At 38.7% G+C, this 19656-nt stretch overlaps 1 protein-coding gene across 4 annotated transcripts in view, besides 1 other annotated feature; it reads right to left on the reverse strand.

Annotated features, from left to right (window-relative positions):
• The window catches only part of DAB1 (DAB adaptor protein 1), a 1551949-nt gene that overhangs the window by 1179490 nt on the left and 352803 nt on the right, over positions 1-19656 (reverse strand). The gene's annotated exons all lie outside the window — the stretch shown is intronic.
• Positions 11386-11887: an enhancer, noted in NCBI's record as "NANOG hESC enhancer chr1:58651325-58651826 (GRCh37/hg19 assembly coordinates)". NCBI's record gives its function as "activates a minimal SCP1, AML or CMV promoter by ChIP-STARR-seq in naive and primed H9 embryonic stem cells {active_cell/tissue: H9 hESC(naive and primed)}" and the evidence as "EXISTENCE:reporter gene assay evidence [ECO:0000049][PMID:30033119]".

Below are 19656 nucleotides of genomic sequence, written 5' to 3' on the forward strand. Positions count from 1 at the left end.
GGTTTCTCCCCTTTCTAGGTCCTGTGACAGCCATCTTGCTATTACTCACCTTTGGGCCCTGTATTTTTAACCTCCTTGCCAAATTTGTTTCCTCTAGGATCAAGGCCATCAAGCTACAATGGTCTTACAAATGGAACCCCAAATGAGCTCAAATAACAACTTCTACCAAGGACCCCTGGACCGACCTGCTGGCCCTCTGACTGACCTAAAGAGTTCCCCTCTGGAGGACAGTACAACTGCAGGGCCCCTTCTTCACCCCATCCAGCAGGAAGTAGCTAGAGCAGTCATCACCCAATTCCAACAGCAGTTGGGGTGTCCTGTTTAGAGGGGGGATTGAGAGGTGAAGCCAGCTGGGCTTCTGGGTCGGGTGGGGACTTGGAGAACTTTTGTGTCTAGCTAAAAGATTGTAAATGCACCAATCAGCGCTCTGTGTCTAGCTAGAGGATTGTAATGTACCAATCAGTGCTCTGTGTCTAGCTAAAGGATTGTAAATGCACCAATCAGCACTCTGCAAAAATGCACCTATCAGCACTCTGTGTCTAGCTAAAGGATTGTAAATGCACCAATCAGCGCTCTGTAAAAATGCACCAATCAGTGCTCTGTGTCTAGCTAAAGGATTGTAAATGCACCAATCAGCACTCTGTACAAATGCACCAATCAGCACTCTGTGTCTAGCTAAAGGACTGTAAACGCACCAATCAGCACTCTGTAAAATGGACCAATCAGCAGGATGTGAGTGGGGCCAAATAAGGGAATAAAAGCTGGCCACCTGAGCCAGCAACAGCAACCTGCTCGGGTCCCCCTCCATTCTGCGGAAGCTTTGTTCTTTCACTCTTCACAATAAATCTTGCTGCTGCTCACTCTTTGGGTCCGCATTACCTTTATGAGCTGTAACACTCACCACGAGGGTCTGCAGCTTCATTCCTGAAGTCAGTGAGACCACAAACCCACAAGGAGGAATAAACAACTCCGGATGCACCACCTTTAAGAGCTGCAACACTCACTGCGAAGGTCAGTGGCTTCACTCCTGTAGTCAGCGAGACCACGAACCCACCGGAAGGAAGAAACTCTGGACACATCTGAACATCTGAAGGAACAAACTCCGGACACACCACCTTTAAGAACTGTAACACTCACTGCCAGGGTCCACGGCTTCATTCTTGAAGTCGGCAAGACCAAGAACTCACTGGAAGGAACCAATTCCGGGCACACTAACACTTGTTATTATTTGACTTTTTGATAATAGCCATTCTGTTCAGTATTTCATTCAGTGGTTTTAACTTGCATTTCCCTAATAACTAGTGATGTTCATACTCTTTTTGCATGCTTATTAACCATATTTTCTTCAGTAAAATATCTATTCAAAACTTTTGCCCATTTTTAAATTGTTTGTCTTGTGCTAGGTTTTACACATAAATTTTTTGCTACTGCATTGGAGTCAATATAATCTTCAATTTTGCAGATGGATAAACTGAGTCAGAAAGTTAAATAACTTTCTCAAGGTCATCCTTCCAGCTAATAATGGCAGTAGTTCTTCTGGTTCCAAAGTCTCGGGTTATTATCTCTACTGAAGTTGCAATCTGGTGATCAGAGGCTTGATCACAGCCCACAGATGCGTCTATATGTGTCACACCATAAAAAATATATAACCAAGGTTTTAAAAAGGAAGCATTCACATAGAAATCCAGGTTTCTGGCTTCTTGTGAAATGATGGAAGATCTAATAGCACTGGGCTCACACTCCACATTCTTAACAGAATTCCAAAAGCATTCTATAAGAGCTGGGTAGCCATCACTCTCTCCAGACAGACCCTGTACACAGAGCCACATATAATCTGACCTCCATGTCATTCACTGATGTTCTTAACCCTGTAGGCATTCGAGGGAGCCATATCCACAAGGTGGGTATGCTCTGTGCCATCTTAGAAAGCTCTTCTTTACATAGGTGAAGAAAACCTAGCTCACTTAGACTATATGCATGTAAAAAACAGATAAAGTACAGACTGGCAAAAAGTCTATAATTTAAGACAATATTCACTATAGATAAAGCTTCCCTGGGATCAGTCATGTAAAAAAAATAGGTTTAATCCTTTCTCTTCAAATCCAATATGTAAAACATTATTAAAAACTGGGGTTTCTCTCACTGAAAAAAAGATGGAATTGGTCTCTTAGTCCATTTTGTGTGACTATAACAGAATACCTGGGACTGAGTAATGTGTAATGAACGGAAATTCATTGGCTCACAGTCTGCAGGCTGGGAAAACCAATATCAAGGTGCTGGCCTCTAGTGAGGGCCTTTACCATCACAAGACAGAAGGCAAGAGGGCAAGAGAGCAAGTGGGGGCCAAACTCAGCCTTTTATAACAGCATTAATTCCACCAATGAGGGCAGAACTCTCATGGGCTAATCACTTCTTAAAAATCCCACCTCCAGCCGGGCGCGGTGGCTCACACCTGTAATTCCAGCACTTTGGGAGGCCGAGGCAGGCAGATCACAAGGTCAGGAGATTGAAACCATCCTCGCTAACACGGTGAAACACCGTCTCTACTAAAAACACAAAAAATTAGCCAGGCATGGTGGTGGGCACCTCTAGTCCCAGCTACTTGGGAGGCTGAGGCAGGAGAATGGCATGAACCTGGGAGGCGGAGCTTGCAGTGAGCTGAGATTGTGCCACTGCACTCCAGCCTGGGTGACGGAGAGAGACTGTCTCAATAAAAAAAAAAAAAAAGTCCCACCTCTCAACACTGTTACAATGGTAAATTAAATTTCAATATGAATTTTTTGGGGTACAGACATTTAAACTATAGAAGTTAGAGTCATATTATTAATTGTATTTTACAGAAGAAGAAACTGGAGCTCAGATAATTTCAGTAACTAGCCCAGAATCACACAGCTGGCAGGAAAATGATAAGCTAGAACTCAACCTAAAGTCCTTGGGAACCGAGGTCAGCACTCTACCTGCACCAGAGCTGCCCACTGTGGGCTATTCTTCTCACTTAGAACAAAAGCCACCTTATAACTTTTGTGTGTCCAGTGCCAGGCACAATACCTGACATATAGAAGAAACTCTCATATATTTGTTAAATGAATTAAAATGCTCCACAAATATTTGTGATAAAAATGTTACATTTTAATTTGGTTGCCAAAATTAAGGCTCAGATGAAAGAAAAAAAATAAGTTCCATATAACTGTCTTAATGTAGCTAAATATTCAAGTGTTATTGAGGGAAAAAGAATCACAATTAACTCAGCATTGTTTTATGTACAGGGAATTGCTTGCTGTTAGGAGAGAGTTGAGGGACTATAATACACAGTGCCTGTTGTACTGTAGATTTAGGGAGATAATGAGGAAGCAAACTGATATTAACTACCTAGCCACCCTACTTACTCTCTTTCTTTTAAGCCCCACAACAACTCTGCAAAGTATATATAAACATTCTCATCTCATTCCCGAGAATGAAAAAAAAAAAATGGCCTGCTCAGGGTTACCCATACTTGATGAAGCTGTCTGACTCCAAACCCATTTGTTTGCACTATATCACAAAAGATTTGAAAATTTACATTGGTGACCCAAGAATTAAATAAAAACAGAGAAAAACCACATCAGAACTGTTATAAGTCAGTCCAAAATTCACTTCAGATGTGCTCTGACATAAAAGAAGAGTGATTCTCTGAGCCTCTATTTTTTCATCCATGAAATGGGTCATAAATATGCCCTCCTCCCAGTGGGGTTGTAAAGCTCAGTTGCTTCAGTGGATGTGGAAGGGCCTTTGAAATAGAAAGTGTAAGGTTAGTGGACCTTAAGCCCTTGCAATATGGATTCTGTTCTCTCAGCATTTTCAAAACTGTTATTTCCAAAATCACCAGTAACCTCTTACTAATTAAAGTAGTAACCTTCTCTCAATCTTTTCCAATCACACTCAACCTGAAACCATTTGGACATATTTGCCTGTATCTGCTCCTCCCCTCCGTTCTGAAACCAACCCTCTCCATCTCATCTCTGTGTATCTGTCTCCGAAGCACAGAAAACACACATACGCACATGCACACACACATGCATGCATACATGCACATATACGCTATTATGGGCTGAAGTATGCCCTCCAAAAATTCAAATGCTGAAGTCCTAATCTCTAATATCTCTGAACGTGACCTTATTTGGAAATAGGATCTTTCCGGAAATAATCAAGTTAAACTGAGTTTGCTTCAGCAGATGCAGAAGGGCCTTTTAAATAGAAAAATTGTTATAAAGAAGAACTGAGATAATATATCTCCAGTGCTCAACAAAGGATGGGGACTGGTTGATAGTAAGCACGGTAAATGGTAGCTATTAGTAGTAGTAGTAGAAGCTTTCTGATGTTTTATAGTCAGAGATGAGCAAACTTTTCTAAAAAGGGACAGATAGAAAATATCTTTTTTTCAAGACAAAGTCTGACACATTTTCTCCTTTGTTTTCTGCTTCTCTGTTTTTTTGTTTACAACTATTCAAAAATGTAAAATCCATTCTTGTTTGTGGGCTGTACACAAACTGAATGCAGGCCAAATTTAACCCTTGCCAATTCCTGGCTAGAATCTCCAGTACAGTGTTAAACAGAGATGGGGAGACCAGACTTCCTATTTTGTTCCTGATCTGAAGTGAAAGGCATTCAGTCTTTCACCATTAAGTACGACATTAGCTATAGCTTTTAAGATAGAAGGTTAGGTTTCCTTAGATATGGTTTATCAGCTAGAAGAAGTTCCTTCTGCTCCTAATTTACTGAAAGTTTTTGTAGTAAATGGGTGTTGAATTTTGTCAAATACTTTTTTGGCATGTATTGAGATGATTATAAGGTTTTTGTCCTTTAATGTATTAATATGGTATATTATGTTAAATGATTTATGGATGTTAAACCAATCTTGTATTCCTGAGATAAATTTCACTTGATTGTGAAGTAGAATCTCTTTATCTATATGTTTCTGAATTCAGTTTCTTAATACTATCTTGAGGAGTTTTGCATCTATATTTATGAGGAATATGGATCTACTGTTTAACTTTCTTGTAATATCTTTTTCTGACTTTGGTATCAAGTTAACACTGGCCTCATAAAAAGAGTTGTGAAGTGTTTCCTCCTCTTCTATATTTTGGAAGAGTTTGCAACGGATTGGCATTAATTCTTTTTTAAATATTTGTTAGAATTCGCCAGTAAAGCCATCTAGGCTGGGGCTTTTCTTTGTCAGAAAATCTTTAATTACTAACTCATTTTCTTTGCTTGTTTTAATCTATTCACATTTTTAATCTTTGAGTCAATTGTGTTAAATTTGCATCTTTCTAGGAATTTCTTCATTTCATGTAAGTTGTCTAAATTTTTGGCATAAAGTTGTTCATAGAATTCCCTTAAGCCTTTTAATTTCTGTAAGGTGGTTAGTAATGTCATCTCTTTCATTCCAATTTTTTTCATTTGCCTTTTGTCTCTTCTATTCTGGATCAGTATAGTAAAAGTTTCATAAATTTTATTAATATTTTCATTAAATTTTTAGTTTTGTTGAATTTCTCTACTTTTTTGTTTTTCTGTTTCCTGTTTCACTGTTTTCCACTCTAATTTGTATTACAGTTGTCCCTTCATATCCATAGGTTCTACATCATTGAATTCAGCCAACTGTGGATTGAAAATATTTGGAAAAAAACAATAAAAAAACAACACTATAATTATAAAAATAACACAAATTTTAAAAATTACAGTGTAACAAGTATTTACATAGCATTTACATTAGGTGCTATAAGTAATCTAGAGATGGGTTAAAGTATATAGGTGGTTATATGCAAATGCTATGCCATTTTATATAAGGGATTTGGGTATCCACAGATTTTGCTATCTGTAAGGGATCCTGGAAAAAATCCCCCACAGATAACAAAAAACAACTGTATTTCCTTACTTCTACTTGCTTTGGGTTTGAATTGCTATTATTTTTCTAGTTTTTTTAAGTGGAAACACAGGTCAATGGTCTGAGATCTTTCTTTTTTCTTTTTTTTCTTTTCTTTTTTTTTTTTTTTTTTTTTTTTTTTTTGAGATAGGATCTCACTTTGTTGCCCAGACTGGAGTGCAGTGGTGTAATAACAGCTCACTGCAGCCTCGACCTCCTGGGCTTAAGTGATCCTCTAATATTAGCCACCAGAGTAACTGGGACTACAGGTGCATGCCACCACCCCAGGATAATTTTTTAAAATTTTTCATAGAGGCGAGCTCTCACTATGTTGCCCAGGCTGGTCTCAAACTTCTGAGCTCAAGCAATCCTCTCACCTTGGCTTCCCGAAGTGCTGGGATTACAGGGATGAGCCACTGTGCCTGGCCTCCTTTATTCTAATATAGGCATTAAAAGTTATAATTTTCCTCTATGTACTGCCTTAGCTGGACCCCACAAATTTTGATGCTTGGTTTCATTCTTGTTCAGTATATTTCCTAATTTCCTCTGTGATTTATTAACTCACAGTTTATTTAGAATTGCATTGTCTAATTGCCAAATATTTGTGGATTTCCCAAATTTCTTTCACTTGTTGATTTTAATGCGATACTGGTTTTGTTGGACAACATACTTGTCATAACTTCAATTATTTTCAATTTATTGAGAACTGTTTTATGCTCTATCACATATCTATTCTAAATAATTGTTTTATGTGTGCTTGAAAAGAATATGCATTCTGCTGCTGTTGGATGGAGTGCTCTAAGATACTAGTTAGGTCAAAATAATTGATAGTGTTGTTCAAATTCTCCATATAACTGATGATTTTCTTTCTAGTTGGCCTATCAATTATTAAGAGTATGATATTGAGATCTCCAACTATTATTACAGAATTGCCTATTTCTCCCTTCAGTTCTTTCTGTTTTTAGTTCACTTGTTTTGGGACTCTGTTGTTAGTTGCATATATATTTTAATTGTTCCATTTTCCTGATATCCTATACATCTTGTTTCTAATAAGACTTTTTGTTTTAAAGTCTATTTCTTTGATATTAGTATGATGACTCCAGCTCTATTTTGGTTGTTTGCATGGTATATCTTTTTCCATTATTTTACTTTTCAACGTATTTGACTCAATCTAAAATATGTGTTTTGGATACAGCATATAGTAGGATCTTCTTTTATTATCCAGTCTGACAATCTGCTTTTTGATAGAAGCAGTTAATTCATTTACATCTAATGTAACTATTGATATGGATGGATTTATATCTGCATTTTGATACTTTTTTGTATGTCTCATGATTTTTGTGCTCCTCCTTAATTGCCTTCTTCTGTGTAAGATAGATATTTTCTTCTGTACCATTTTAACTCCTTGTTGGATTTATTTATACATTTTGAGTTGTTTTCTTAATAAATTTTCCAGAGATTTCAACATGCACCTTAACTTTTCATAATATACTTTAGATTAATACTAAGTTACTTCTAATAAAATATGGAAATTTTGTTAAAATATATCTCCATTTTCTTTCTCCTTCTTTGTGTTATTATAGTCATATACATCATTATATGTTATAAGCCCAACAATAGATTTTAAAGTTATTATTTCATGCAATTGTCTTTTAAATCAGTTATGAGAAAAGAAACATATATTTATTGTCTTTTATATTTATCTTCATAATTAACTTACAAGTGCTCTTTATTTCTCCATGAATTCAAGCTATCACCTAGTGTCATTTTCTTTCAGTCCAGAAAACTTTCTTTACTCTTTCTCGTAAGTCGGGTCTGCTAGCCACAAATTCATTTAGTCTCTGTTTATCTGAGAATATCTTTGTGCAGAATAGTTTTGCTGGAAATAGAATTCTTGGTTGATAGGTTTTTGTCTTTCAGCACTTTGAATATGTCAATAATTCTGCCTTCCGGCCTCTATTTCTAGTAGGAAGTCAGTTGTGAATCTTATTTTCATTCCTCTGTATACAGTGAGTGTTTTTTTACTTCTTGCTGATCTTAGAATTATTTCTTTATATTTGGTTTTCAATCGTTTGACTATGATATATCTAAATGTGATTTGTGTGTGTGTGTGTTTATCCTATTTGGAGTTCACTGAGGTTCTTGGATGTGAGGATTATTTTTTAAATTAAATTTGGTGAGTTTTTGGGCATTATTTCCTCAAATATTCTTTCCCCTCTTTCTTTCTTTCAATTGCTTATGAGACTCCCATGAAACATATGTTGCTGTGCTTAATGGTGTCCTATAGGTCTCTGAGGCCCTGTTCATCTTTCTCTATTTGTTTTCTGTTCTTCCAATTGGATAAGTCCTATTTATCTATCTTCAAGTTTGCTAAATCTTTCTCCTGACATCTTGAATCTGCTGTTGAGCCCCTTGAGTAAATTTTTTGTTTCAATTACTGTAGTTTTCAACTCCAGAACTTCCATTTGGTTCTTTTTTTTGGTAATTTATATCTCTTTATTGATATTCTCTAGTGAATTATTATAATAATACTTTCCATTCACTTTTTAAACATGGTTTGCTTTCACCTTTGAACAGATTTATAATAGCTGCTTTGAAGTCTTTTTCTGCGAAGTCCAAATCTGTACCCGTCAAATATAGTATGTTTTAACTACTTTTTTTCTGAGTATGGGTCATATTTTCCTGCTTCTTTGCACATCTTGTTTTTTTTGTTGTTGTTGTTTTACAAGTGATATTTTAGATAACATATTATAGGAATTCTGGATTCTGATTCTTCCCAGAAGTTGTCATTATTTCTAGGATTTTTATTGTTGTTGTTTTGTTCAGTGACTTTGTTTGACTATTTCTGTAGAATTTGTCTCCCCCAGATTGCACAGCCACTAATGTTTCCAATCAGTTTTTCTTTTACTCCTCTTTTCATTTTAAGCCTGGATTCTAGAGATTACCCCTGGTAAGCATAGTGTAGTGATCATGTTGAGTGGTCAGAGGCAGTACTTAAACATCTTGATTCAGTAACATTTCTACCCTTTGACAATGGATCTGTTTGTGGGTTGGAGAACACTTTCAACCTTCAGGCAGTTTACAAATCTGATACAGTTTACTTTCTGACATGCCTTCTTGCATCTCCTCCGTAAGTTTATGAGGTCTCATATTCAGCCATGGATGAATAGTTAGTTAAAGCCTTCTCTGGTGTCTCCAGATTATGCACACAGCTGCACCTATGTGTGTAGCCTTCCAGAACAACAAAGATCAACAGGGATAGTGGCAGCTTATCAAGGTACACAATGGCTATCTCATTCTAGATCTCCCTGTTAAACTTTTGGCTAGTCTGTTGACTTGTGACTTGCAACCAGTATTGCAAGTTGGATTTTCATTTATTTGCCTTACAGATTGCTACTGTTTTTTAACAATGCCCCTGGACATGCACACACTTAAAATCAATCCTGTTTCTCTAGCTATAGGGTTTCTGCTTCTTTGCACGTCTTGTTTGTTGTTATTGTTTTACAAGTGATATTTTAGATGACGTATTATAGGAATTCTGGATTCTGATTCTTCCCAGAAGTTGTTATTTCCAGGGTTTTTATTGTTGTTGTTATTTGTTTAGTGACTTTATTTGACTAATTCTGTAGAATTTGTCTCCCCCAGATTGTACAGCCACTAATGCTTGCAATCAGTTTTTCTTTTATTCCTCTTTTCATTTTTAAGCCTGTTAGATACCCCTATTAAATTTTTGGCTAGTCTGTTGACTTGTGACTTGCAACCATTATTTCAAGTTGGCTTTTCAATTATTTGCCTTAAAGATTGCTATTGCTTTTAACAACGCCCCTGGACATGCACACACTCCAAATCAATCCTGTTTCTCTAGCTATAGGGTTTCTAACTTTCAGCTTGCCCAGCCATTATAGAAGAACCCTATATGTTTTATAGGGTCAGGATTTGCTTTTAAGGGAGTAGAGAAGTCCTGTACTTGTTCAGAACTGCCTGGGATTTAGATGGAAAGTCTTTCTTATTCTGTAATTCAGTATTTAAAAACACCCACTTGCCTACAGATATAAATCACATTCTTCAATATCAGTTTTATTATTAATAAAAATAAAGATTTTAAAAATATATAACATATGATATATAACATAATAATATATATTAATAATATATATATAATGCTCTTTCTTACCTCTAATCTCTTAATTGATTAGATTTTCTGAAAATAAGCAGTCCTAATACCTAGGACAATAACTCCTACTCCCTGTGTTTTAAATCAAACCTCTTTCAGCTGGACCATTCTGCCTCCTATTCAATTTTCTTATTTTGAATGATAATGATAACCAATAAAACAGAAAAGTAAACGTCTCTGCTCTTCAGGTACACTATCCAAATACATGGAAAAGCTACTTAGTACAAACCACTTGAAATGCAGTAGAATCAGCTAAAATAGTGTTCTGTTCTTTAATCCAGTCTGCTGCTTCTCCTGTCAATTGGCTGGAACATGAATTCTAAGAAATCACTAGATGTTCACAGCAGGTGCAAAGGTAAGCTCATGTTCTGGGGAGGTCCACATTTTCCCTGGGTAGCAGATGTTTTGCTACATGACATTTAGAAATAAGTCAAAGTTGTTATTTGTTATGTATAATGGGTCTCAAAGAATAAATGAAAAGCCTTTTACTCTAATTCAGAATGCATTTTGCCACTCTGAAGGATACATTGGTTGAGCTCTTAAAAGCTCAGGCATGGGAACAAGAGATTGATATGGCTGAATATGTGTCTAAGGGAACAGTCAAAGAGAGCAGCCATGTCTAGCATGAGGAAGAGCAGACTGCACTCAAATCAACCCGTTACACTAAAGAGTGGGAAAGGTTCTTTATTGCTTTCTCAGCTGGAAAGATACCCTTATCCCACATTCTGCAAAACAAAACAAAACAAAAAACTCAGTTATCTTTTCTATTCATTAGAATAATATAAGTGAAACCACTACTAGTTTGATGAGGATTTCTACTCAATCGGCATATTCTAGTCTGGGTCCTACTCATCAATCTGTCTCAAAGTAACCCTTCCTATGGTCTAAAAAATGAGAGGGAAGCAGGAGAAGGATGGGTAAGATGTCATGGGTTTATGGTCTCATTATCTGCAGGCATCTGAAGTTTTTAGCTGTGTGCTGAGGAAACATACACAAATGGGACCCCCAGCAGTATTTTCCTGACATATCTCTAGGGCCTGCAGCAAATACATGCTGGGCAAGCATCATACTGTCATGTCAAGTTGTGGTCACTCAGAAGGAATCCTAGCCTGAAGCCCTATTGACAGTTCAGGAACCTGGAAGGCTTTCCTGATTGGACATCTGGGCTGGCTATAAGGTCTTGTTTCATGCTGATTCCTGAAGCCTACCATAGGTTTTGTTTTGTTTTGTTTTGTTTTTAAAGACTTTGAATCTTTAATATATGATATCCCTCTGGCACTACTTCTGGCAAAGTGGCTTCATGCTGGAACTTCAGTAGTCTCCTGGAAACTCAGACCAAGTCAGCTGTTCCCCTCACTTCCCCAGCCAGCAATGTCACCTATGCCTAGATAGGCCACCCTCAAAGAGATGGGGGAAGTTGTTGTGTTATAGAAGTAATGAAGCTCTTAAATCTAAAAACGTGTGTTCAGGTGGTACTGCCCTCTACAATCTATATGACCTTGGGCAAGTCATTGAGTTTCTCTGAACCTCCGATTGCTCATCTGTGGCATGTGGATAGGGCCATTGACCCTAGAGTTTGTGTGGTGGATACTGTGGTTTGCTTCATCCAGTACCCATTCTAATCTCCTTCTAACTTGCCTTCTGTTCTAACAGCAAAACTACATTTCCTGAACTTTCTTCCAGAAAGGGTACAGTCATGTGACATAATTCTCTCCATTTATACACAGCCATTCAAGACTTCTAAACAGAAACTATCATGAGGCAGTGGCCACCCAGGGAGAGCAAATATTCTGGCAGGATCACTAGTAAGACTTCTGGTTCTTCTAGAGCAGTGGGGGTCGAGTTCATGGCTTCAAGCCTGAGTGCAGCAGAAATCAAACAGCAAGCATCAAGGGCAAGAGATTTTTCACTAGCATGGGGCAACAGAATGAATGGAAGCTTTTCCTGCCCATAGTGTTGTTAATGGTATAGCATCCAAGCCTGGTTCTCTGCCTCTTTCTGAGATTTTGTGAGCCAATTCGTACTCTTTAATTGATTACTTTTTGCTTAAATTATTGTATTGTCATCTGCAACCAAGAAGCCTGGGAATAGCAGTTATTTTATTAAAGGAAGTAAATAAAAGTGAAAGTAACTAATAAACTCTAAATGTTAGACAAATGGTAGAAAATTATGTTCAATAACTTTTTTTTCTTTTTAAAGATGAATACATTGCAGAAATTCTAGGAAAGGGAGTTGTTATTTAATTCTCAAAACAACTCTGTGGGCAGACATCTGTATTAGTTTTATTTTTCTGCAATAATGCTGAATAACAAACAACCCTAAAACTCAGTAAATTATTTAGTGTGAGAGTCATCTACATGGTTCTTCTGGCTTATCCTGGACTTCCTCATATGTCTGAGCATTAACTGGATATTGGATAATCTAGGCTGGCTTTGGTTGACGGAATTGGGCCAAGTTTCCTCCTCTCTATGTCTTTCTCATCTTCCAACATGCTGGACCAAGTTTGCTTTCATGATCATGGCAGAGGACCAAGAGTACAACTGGAAACACACTAGCATTACTTAAGCCTCTGCTTGTATCACATTTGATAATATCTTGTTGGCTAGAGCATGTCATATAGTGTCAGAGTGAGACAGCACTACTAAATTACATGGCAAAAAGTGTGAACACAGAAAGGAAGGGAGAAGCATTAGGACTATTACTGCAATCTGCCACTGCACATATAACCCAACTTCATGGATTATTAGAGAAGCTCAAAGAGATTAAATAAGCTGTCCTGCGTCCCAAACATAGTCAGTGATGGTGATGAAAGATTAATCCACTTTAATCTGACTCCAGCCAGGCACAGCGGCTCATGCCTATAATCCCAGCACTTTGGGAGGCTGAGGCAGGAGGATCGCTCAAAGCCAGGAGTTCAAGTCCAGCCTGGACACCAAAGGAAGACCTTAACTCTACAAAAAAAAAAAAAAGTAAAAATAAAAAATAAACTAGCCAGGCTCATAGGTGTGCACTTGTAGTCCCAGTTACTCAGGAAGTTGAAGTGGGAGGATTACTTGAGCCTCGGAGTTTAGGTTGTAGTGAGCTACATCATGCTACTGCACTCCAGCCTGGGACCACACAGTAAGACCCTGTCTGAAAAAAAAAGAAGCCTGACTACAAAGCACCCAGGAAAATTCTGCTAAATACATGTGTGTGGGTATATTTAAGATTTATGTATATTTTATATATTATTATTATTATTATTATTATAATTTTTGAGAAAGAGTTGCACTCTTGTCACCCAGGCTGGAGTGCAATGGCATGATCTTAGCTCACTGCAACCTTCGCCTCCCAGATTCAAGCAATTCTCATGCCTTAGCCTCCAGAGTAGCTGTGATTACAGGTGTGCACCACCACACCAGCTAATTTTTGTATTTTTAGTAGAAATAGGTTTTCCCCATGTTGGCTAGGTTGGTCTTGAACTCCTGACCTCAAGTGATCCACCTGCCTTGGCCTCCCAAAGTGCTGGGATTACAGGTGTGAGCCACCTGGCCTGTTTTTTTTTTTTTCTTTGACCTGTGAGATAAGAATTTTTTTTTTTTTTCTTGAGACAGAGTCTCGCTCTTACACCCAGGCTGGAGTGCAGTCCCTTGGTCTCAGCTCACTGCAACCTCTGCCTCCCATATTCAAGCGATTCTCCTGCCTCAGCCTCCTTAGTAGCTGGGATTACAGGAGCCTGCCACCATGCCCAGTGAATTTTTGTATTTTTAGTAGAGATGGGGTTTCACCATGTTGGCCAGACTGGTCTCAAACTTCTGGCCTCAGGTGATCCACCTGCCTTGGCCTCCCAAAGTGCTGGGATTACAGGCATAAGCCACCATACTCAGCCAGTTTTTGCATTTTTATAGTGTGTAAAATAAAACAAAAAACAAAGAATATGTGACAGAGATCATACGCGGCTAGTATTCAAAGCCTAAAATATTTGCTATTTGGTTCTTTACAGAAAATGTTTGATAGAGAATCGATTTAATATATGACTTGGTCTACAATCTCCACTTTGGACCATTGTTTAGAATTCACAACATATTCTATTAATGAGCATTCTCCCCTAAGAGAAGTGACTGGGTATTCAGGTACTGAGTTTCCCAACACTGTAAACATTCATCTAAAATAGCATGTTCCTACTCTGAGTGGAAGCTAAATCGTATAACCCCTAAGGCCTGTCTAATACTAAGATCCCATGTTTATAATCACGGAGCTAGGATTTGATGCATTACAGGTGATCACTGGACGATTCAGTTGTCCAAAGATAAAAGAGCCTCTTTAGTGGAAATGCTATGGTTCAAAAACAATCAAGCCATGATGTTTTAACAACTTGTAATTCATTCAATAATATCAGAACTTGCTAGAAATTGATGGTGGTGGTTATGTATACCTGTCACCATCAAAGACTAGGAAAGGAGGTAACTCACTGATTATGCTTTGTTTTTCTCTGTTTACACTTGTATGACCAAAGCTGAAGGTAGCTGAGCCTCCAGTAAATGGAAGTTTGCTTGTGTACCTGAATTTCATGGGTCCTGAATGTTCCACAAGGGAACCAAGCACAGCAAAAGTATTTATACACCACAGCCACTAATCAGGGTTTAATTAGCCTTATAATTAGAAGGGTAAACAGAAGTACAATTCCCAAATTGCTTGTTGTTTTTTTACATGTCCATAGAGCACTATTTTATTTGCCTTTGCACCCCCCACCCAGCATTTTAGCACAAAATTAACCTTTAAAATGTGTTAACTGTTGCATGGATTGCTGGCTTGCTTTCCACAAAATTCAGCTTTGTCATATTTGGTTAATTACAATGTCCAAAGTTATCAACCACAAGCTTCTTCAACTCTGTGAATGTTACTGAAAGCAGGAAAGGATGTTTTTATTCCTAGCTATCCTTCAGCTGTTCCAATGCAAAATAGCAGTCCAGATTTGTAGTCTGGGTGTCATTTAAGTAGTTTTTCCATAAGGTTTATTTAATTTTATATTCAGGAAAGTGAGTTTAAATGTCATTCTATTAATTTTACAAATGATGAAACTGGCATGCAGAGAATTTAAGTGGTTTGTGGAAGGTCATTCTGTCTAGGACAAGTTTCTCAAAGTACATTCCCTAGACCACCCTCATTTCTATCATTTAGGGTTTAACCAGACACCTCCGATGTGCCACTCAAGATGCACTTAGCTTTTCCTGGCCCTCTGTTCCACCCCAGCATCCCGCTAACAACCAGCCCTGCCCACTGGTTGCAGGTCCCCACTGACTTCCAAAGCAGGCAAACTGACAGCACTTTGGTCACACCAATGGCCTGTGCCCTTATCTCTTGTCCTTACTACCCTGGCTGAGGCACAAGAAGTCACGGACTTGGCAACATGTATTTTCAATGTGGAAGTACAAACAAGTAAATGCTCCATGGGGCAAGCCTTTAACCCATGGGAATGGGAGATGGATCAGTTCTTCTCCCTTCCTCCCATGCTCTGACCATCCTGAGGCACAGGGGTCCCATGGGCTACTGGAAGACAGTCTTGTGAGAAATTGGCTTCACCTGACATGAAGTGGTAGCCAGCTCAATGGCACACCCTTGTATTTGTCCTCCTTTTTCCTTTCCTCACTCCCTCTTCCCCTCCTGATACTTCTTGGGACTTTAGTCCACAGTAAGGTAGTAGTATTTGTAAGCTTTTGCCTCGGCTTCTGCTTTCTGAGACCCAGGTCAGCTAATACTGGATTAGAACATCTGGGAGTGGGGCATTTTTACAAGATTTCCTGATGATTTCCAGGTACCTTACAGTCTGATGACCACTGGATCTAGAATCTGAACCCAATGTAAAGGACTCTAAATTCAGTACTCTTTGCAGACTAATATATGCCAGATATAAGAAAGAATCCTGCTGTTCTCACATTGGGTCAAAGATGGAGAAAGAAACCCCTGACTGACTGTACTCCACCACTCTGAACTTCAAGGGGCTACTGTGGGGTTCCTGACACTGACAACACCTGTCCCACGTGGTGAACCAGCTCACCTTCCCATCCAGGCAGCAGTCCAGCCTATCCCCACTTCTCTAATTCTTGATGTCAAATAGGTTACACTCTGACTAGTTTCATGCTAGCAGTCTGTCATGCACATTGTGTGGATGTTGGCCACGGGTTCTCTCTTTCTGTCTCCTTTCCTGAATTCTTCTTTTTTTAAACAAACCACTCCAACTAGAAAGAGCCTGATTACCATCCATTGTCTCTTTGCTGGGAAAATATCAGGTTAAAAAAATAAATAAATAAGATCTAGCACTCTCTACCCAAAAGTTCTCAGGGGGCAGAGCCTCTGGGGCTTTGTTATAGCTGTTTTTACACTCCGTGTCATGTCTTTGAGGCAGAATGAAAAGGGACACTGCCAGGAAACATCTTTGGAAATGCTATAAATAGCAAATCGGCAAGACCGGGGAACAAAAGAGAAGCGCAGCCAGTGTAATTAGTTCACTTACTGAGCAAGTTGACTATTCCAAGGCGGAGAACCGTGTTCTAGCTGATGAGACTGTGGGACTGGGGAGGGAGGAAAACTCGACTTCCCGCATGGGTGGAGGAAAGGGGACACATGCTGTGACACCCAGGCCCCAATGGGCTCTCACAGTCCCCATCCCAGGTTATCAACAATAGCCCACAGAAGAACGTGGGAAGCCAAGGGTCCAAGGCCTGAGTATATGTGAAATGTGAGAGGGAAATCAAGGAGCTTGAGGTTGGAAAGCAAACAGAAATACAAGATACATGGAGGATGGTGTAAGACTCAGGTCATCACAGGAAGGGACTGAGAGATCTTCTTAGCCAGAGTTTTCCAAATAATAATGACAATAATATTAACTAATATTTACTGAGCACTTACTATGACTATAAACACATTTAGTTCTTACAATAACTTTCTTAAGGTAAGTACTGTTATTATCCCCATTTTACAGATGAGGAAATGGAGGTTTAGAAAAATTAGGTACCTTGCCCAAAGGTACATCTCTAGTTGCAAACTTTTTAAAGCAGTGGAACATTTTTCCTTTTTTTCAATCGGAATCCCAATAATATAAACAGAGTAGTGAAGGAAAGAATCCCGGACCACTGAATTCCAGCACACCAGAGAACTCAACTGGAAAACCATTCCCTGAGTGCAAGCTGAGGCCGAGAGAGGGGAACAGGACTGTCCCAGGTCACTGGACTGGCTAACCGTGAAGCTGGAGGACACAGGTCTTCTGGAGCTCATCCAGGGCTCTTTCCAAAATGATGCTTTGCAATCGAGGGGCCACTCCATTTAAAAGTTTCCCCTTTGAACCACCACTGGACTGAGACCTTAGTTCTGTGCATATAACAACTACGACACCCACCGGCTGCTGTAGATCTGTATCCCCTTTGCCTCCTAACTTGTCTGTGAAATGTTGAGAGTAGAGTCTGTATCTTTGTGTCTTCGCAGGTGCCTAGCACAGAGGCTGGTACACAGAAGGACCTCATTAAAGTTTATTAAAGGAATGAATGTTGTGATGGGTGGAGGAACAGATTAATTAATGCGTAAAAATATGTGACCACCTGCAATAAAAATACCACTGTGGAGAACACAAAGTATTTTCATGTCTAACACCACCTTTGCTTTGCAAAACCAGCTGAAAGGGAGTATTATTATTCCCATTTTACAGCTGAAGGACCTCAGGCATTTAAAAGGAAGATTCTTTCTCAAAGGAACACAGCTAGGAAGCCAAGGAGCTAAGACTGCACTTAGATGTTCCGACTCCTAAGAATCAATAGCTAAGGAAAAATACTGCATGATTCCAGTTATAGAAGGCACCTAGAACAGTCAAACTCATAGAGATAGAAACAGAAAGAAGATAGAATGGTGGTTGCCAGGGGCTGGCAGGGCTAGGAATGGGGAGATGGATTTAAATTATTTTTAATTTTATATATTTAGGGGGTACAAGTGCAGATTCCTTACATGCATATACTGCCTAGTGGTGAAGTCTGGGCTTTTAATGTACCCATCACTTGAATAGTGAACACTGCAAACAATAGTTAATTTTTCAACCCTCACCTCTCCCCCACCCTTCCATCTTTCATAGTCTTCAATGTCTATTATTCTACTCTATGTGTCCATGTGTATCATTGTTATCTCCAAGTTATAAGTGAGACATGTAGTATTTGATTTTCTGTTCCTGAGTTATTTCACTTAGGATAACGGTCTCCAGTTCCATCCATGTTGCTGCAAAATACATGATTTCATTTGTTTTGTGGCTGAATAGTATTCCATGTGTGCGTGTGTGTATGTGTATATATGTATATATGTGTGTGTGTGTATGTATGTCTCGCATTTTCTTTATACAATACTTCATTGATGGACACTTGGTTTGATTCCATATTTTTGCTATTGTGAATAGTGCTGCAATAAATATATAAGTGTAGGTATCTCTTTGATATAATGATTTCCTTCCCTTTGGGTATATACCCAGTAGTGGGATTGCTAGATTAAATGGTATTTTTAAATAAGTACAGAGTTTCTGTTTTGCAAGATGAAAAGACTTCTGTGGATGGAGGGTGGTAATGAACAAAACAATGTGAATGTACACTTAGAAATGATTAGGATGGTAAATTTTGTGTTATTTGTATTTTACCAATTAAATTTCTTTTAAAAATTGATATCTAATATTTATTATTTGCTATGGTTTGAATATGGCTTGTTTTCCCCACCAAATCTCATGTTGAAATTTAGTCACTAATATTGGAGGCGGGGCTTAATGGGAGGGTATTTGGGTCGTGCGGGAAGATCCCTCATGAGTAGATTAGTGCCCTCCCTGGGAAGAGGGAAGTGAGTAAGTCTCACTGTTTCATTGAGAGCTGATTGTTTAAAAGAACCTGGTCCTTTCTCACCGTCTTTTGCTTCTGTTCTCACCATGTGATCTCAGCACGTTCTGGCTCCCCTTTGCCTTCTGCCATGAATGGAAGCAGCCTGTGGCCCTCACCTGAAGCAGATGCCAGTGCCATGATTATTGTACAGCCCACAGCACCCTGAGCCAAATAAACCTCTTTTCTTTATAAATTACCTAGCCTCTGGTAGTCCTTTGTAGCAATACAAAACAGACTAAGACATTATTCGTCTACTATGTGCAACACTACACTTTATCTTTTTTTATCCTCACAACAATTCTATGAAATAAGTACTATTATTATCTCTATTTACAAATGATAAAACTAAGTTACGGCCAGGCGCAGTGGCTCACGCCTATAATCCCAGCACTTTGGGAGGTCGAGGCGGGTGGATCACCTGAGGTCAGGAGTTCAAGACCATTCTGGGCAACATGGTGAAACCCCATCTCTACTAATAATACAAAAATTAGCCAGGCATGGTGGCGCACGCCTGTAATGCCAGCTGCTCGGGAGGCTGAGGCAGGAGAATCACTTGAACCAGGGAGGCGGAGGTTGCAGTGAGCCAAGATCGCACCATTGCACTCCAGCCTGGGCAACAAAAGCAAAACTCTGTCTAAAAAAAAAAAGAAAAGAAAAACAAAGAAAAACAGAGTTACAAAGAGGTAAAGTAACTAAGTAACTTA

Source organism: Homo sapiens, chromosome 1 (genome assembly GCF_000001405.40).
Source record: "Homo sapiens chromosome 1, GRCh38.p14 Primary Assembly".
Classification (NCBI taxonomy): domain Eukaryota; kingdom Metazoa; phylum Chordata; class Mammalia; order Primates; family Hominidae; genus Homo; species Homo sapiens.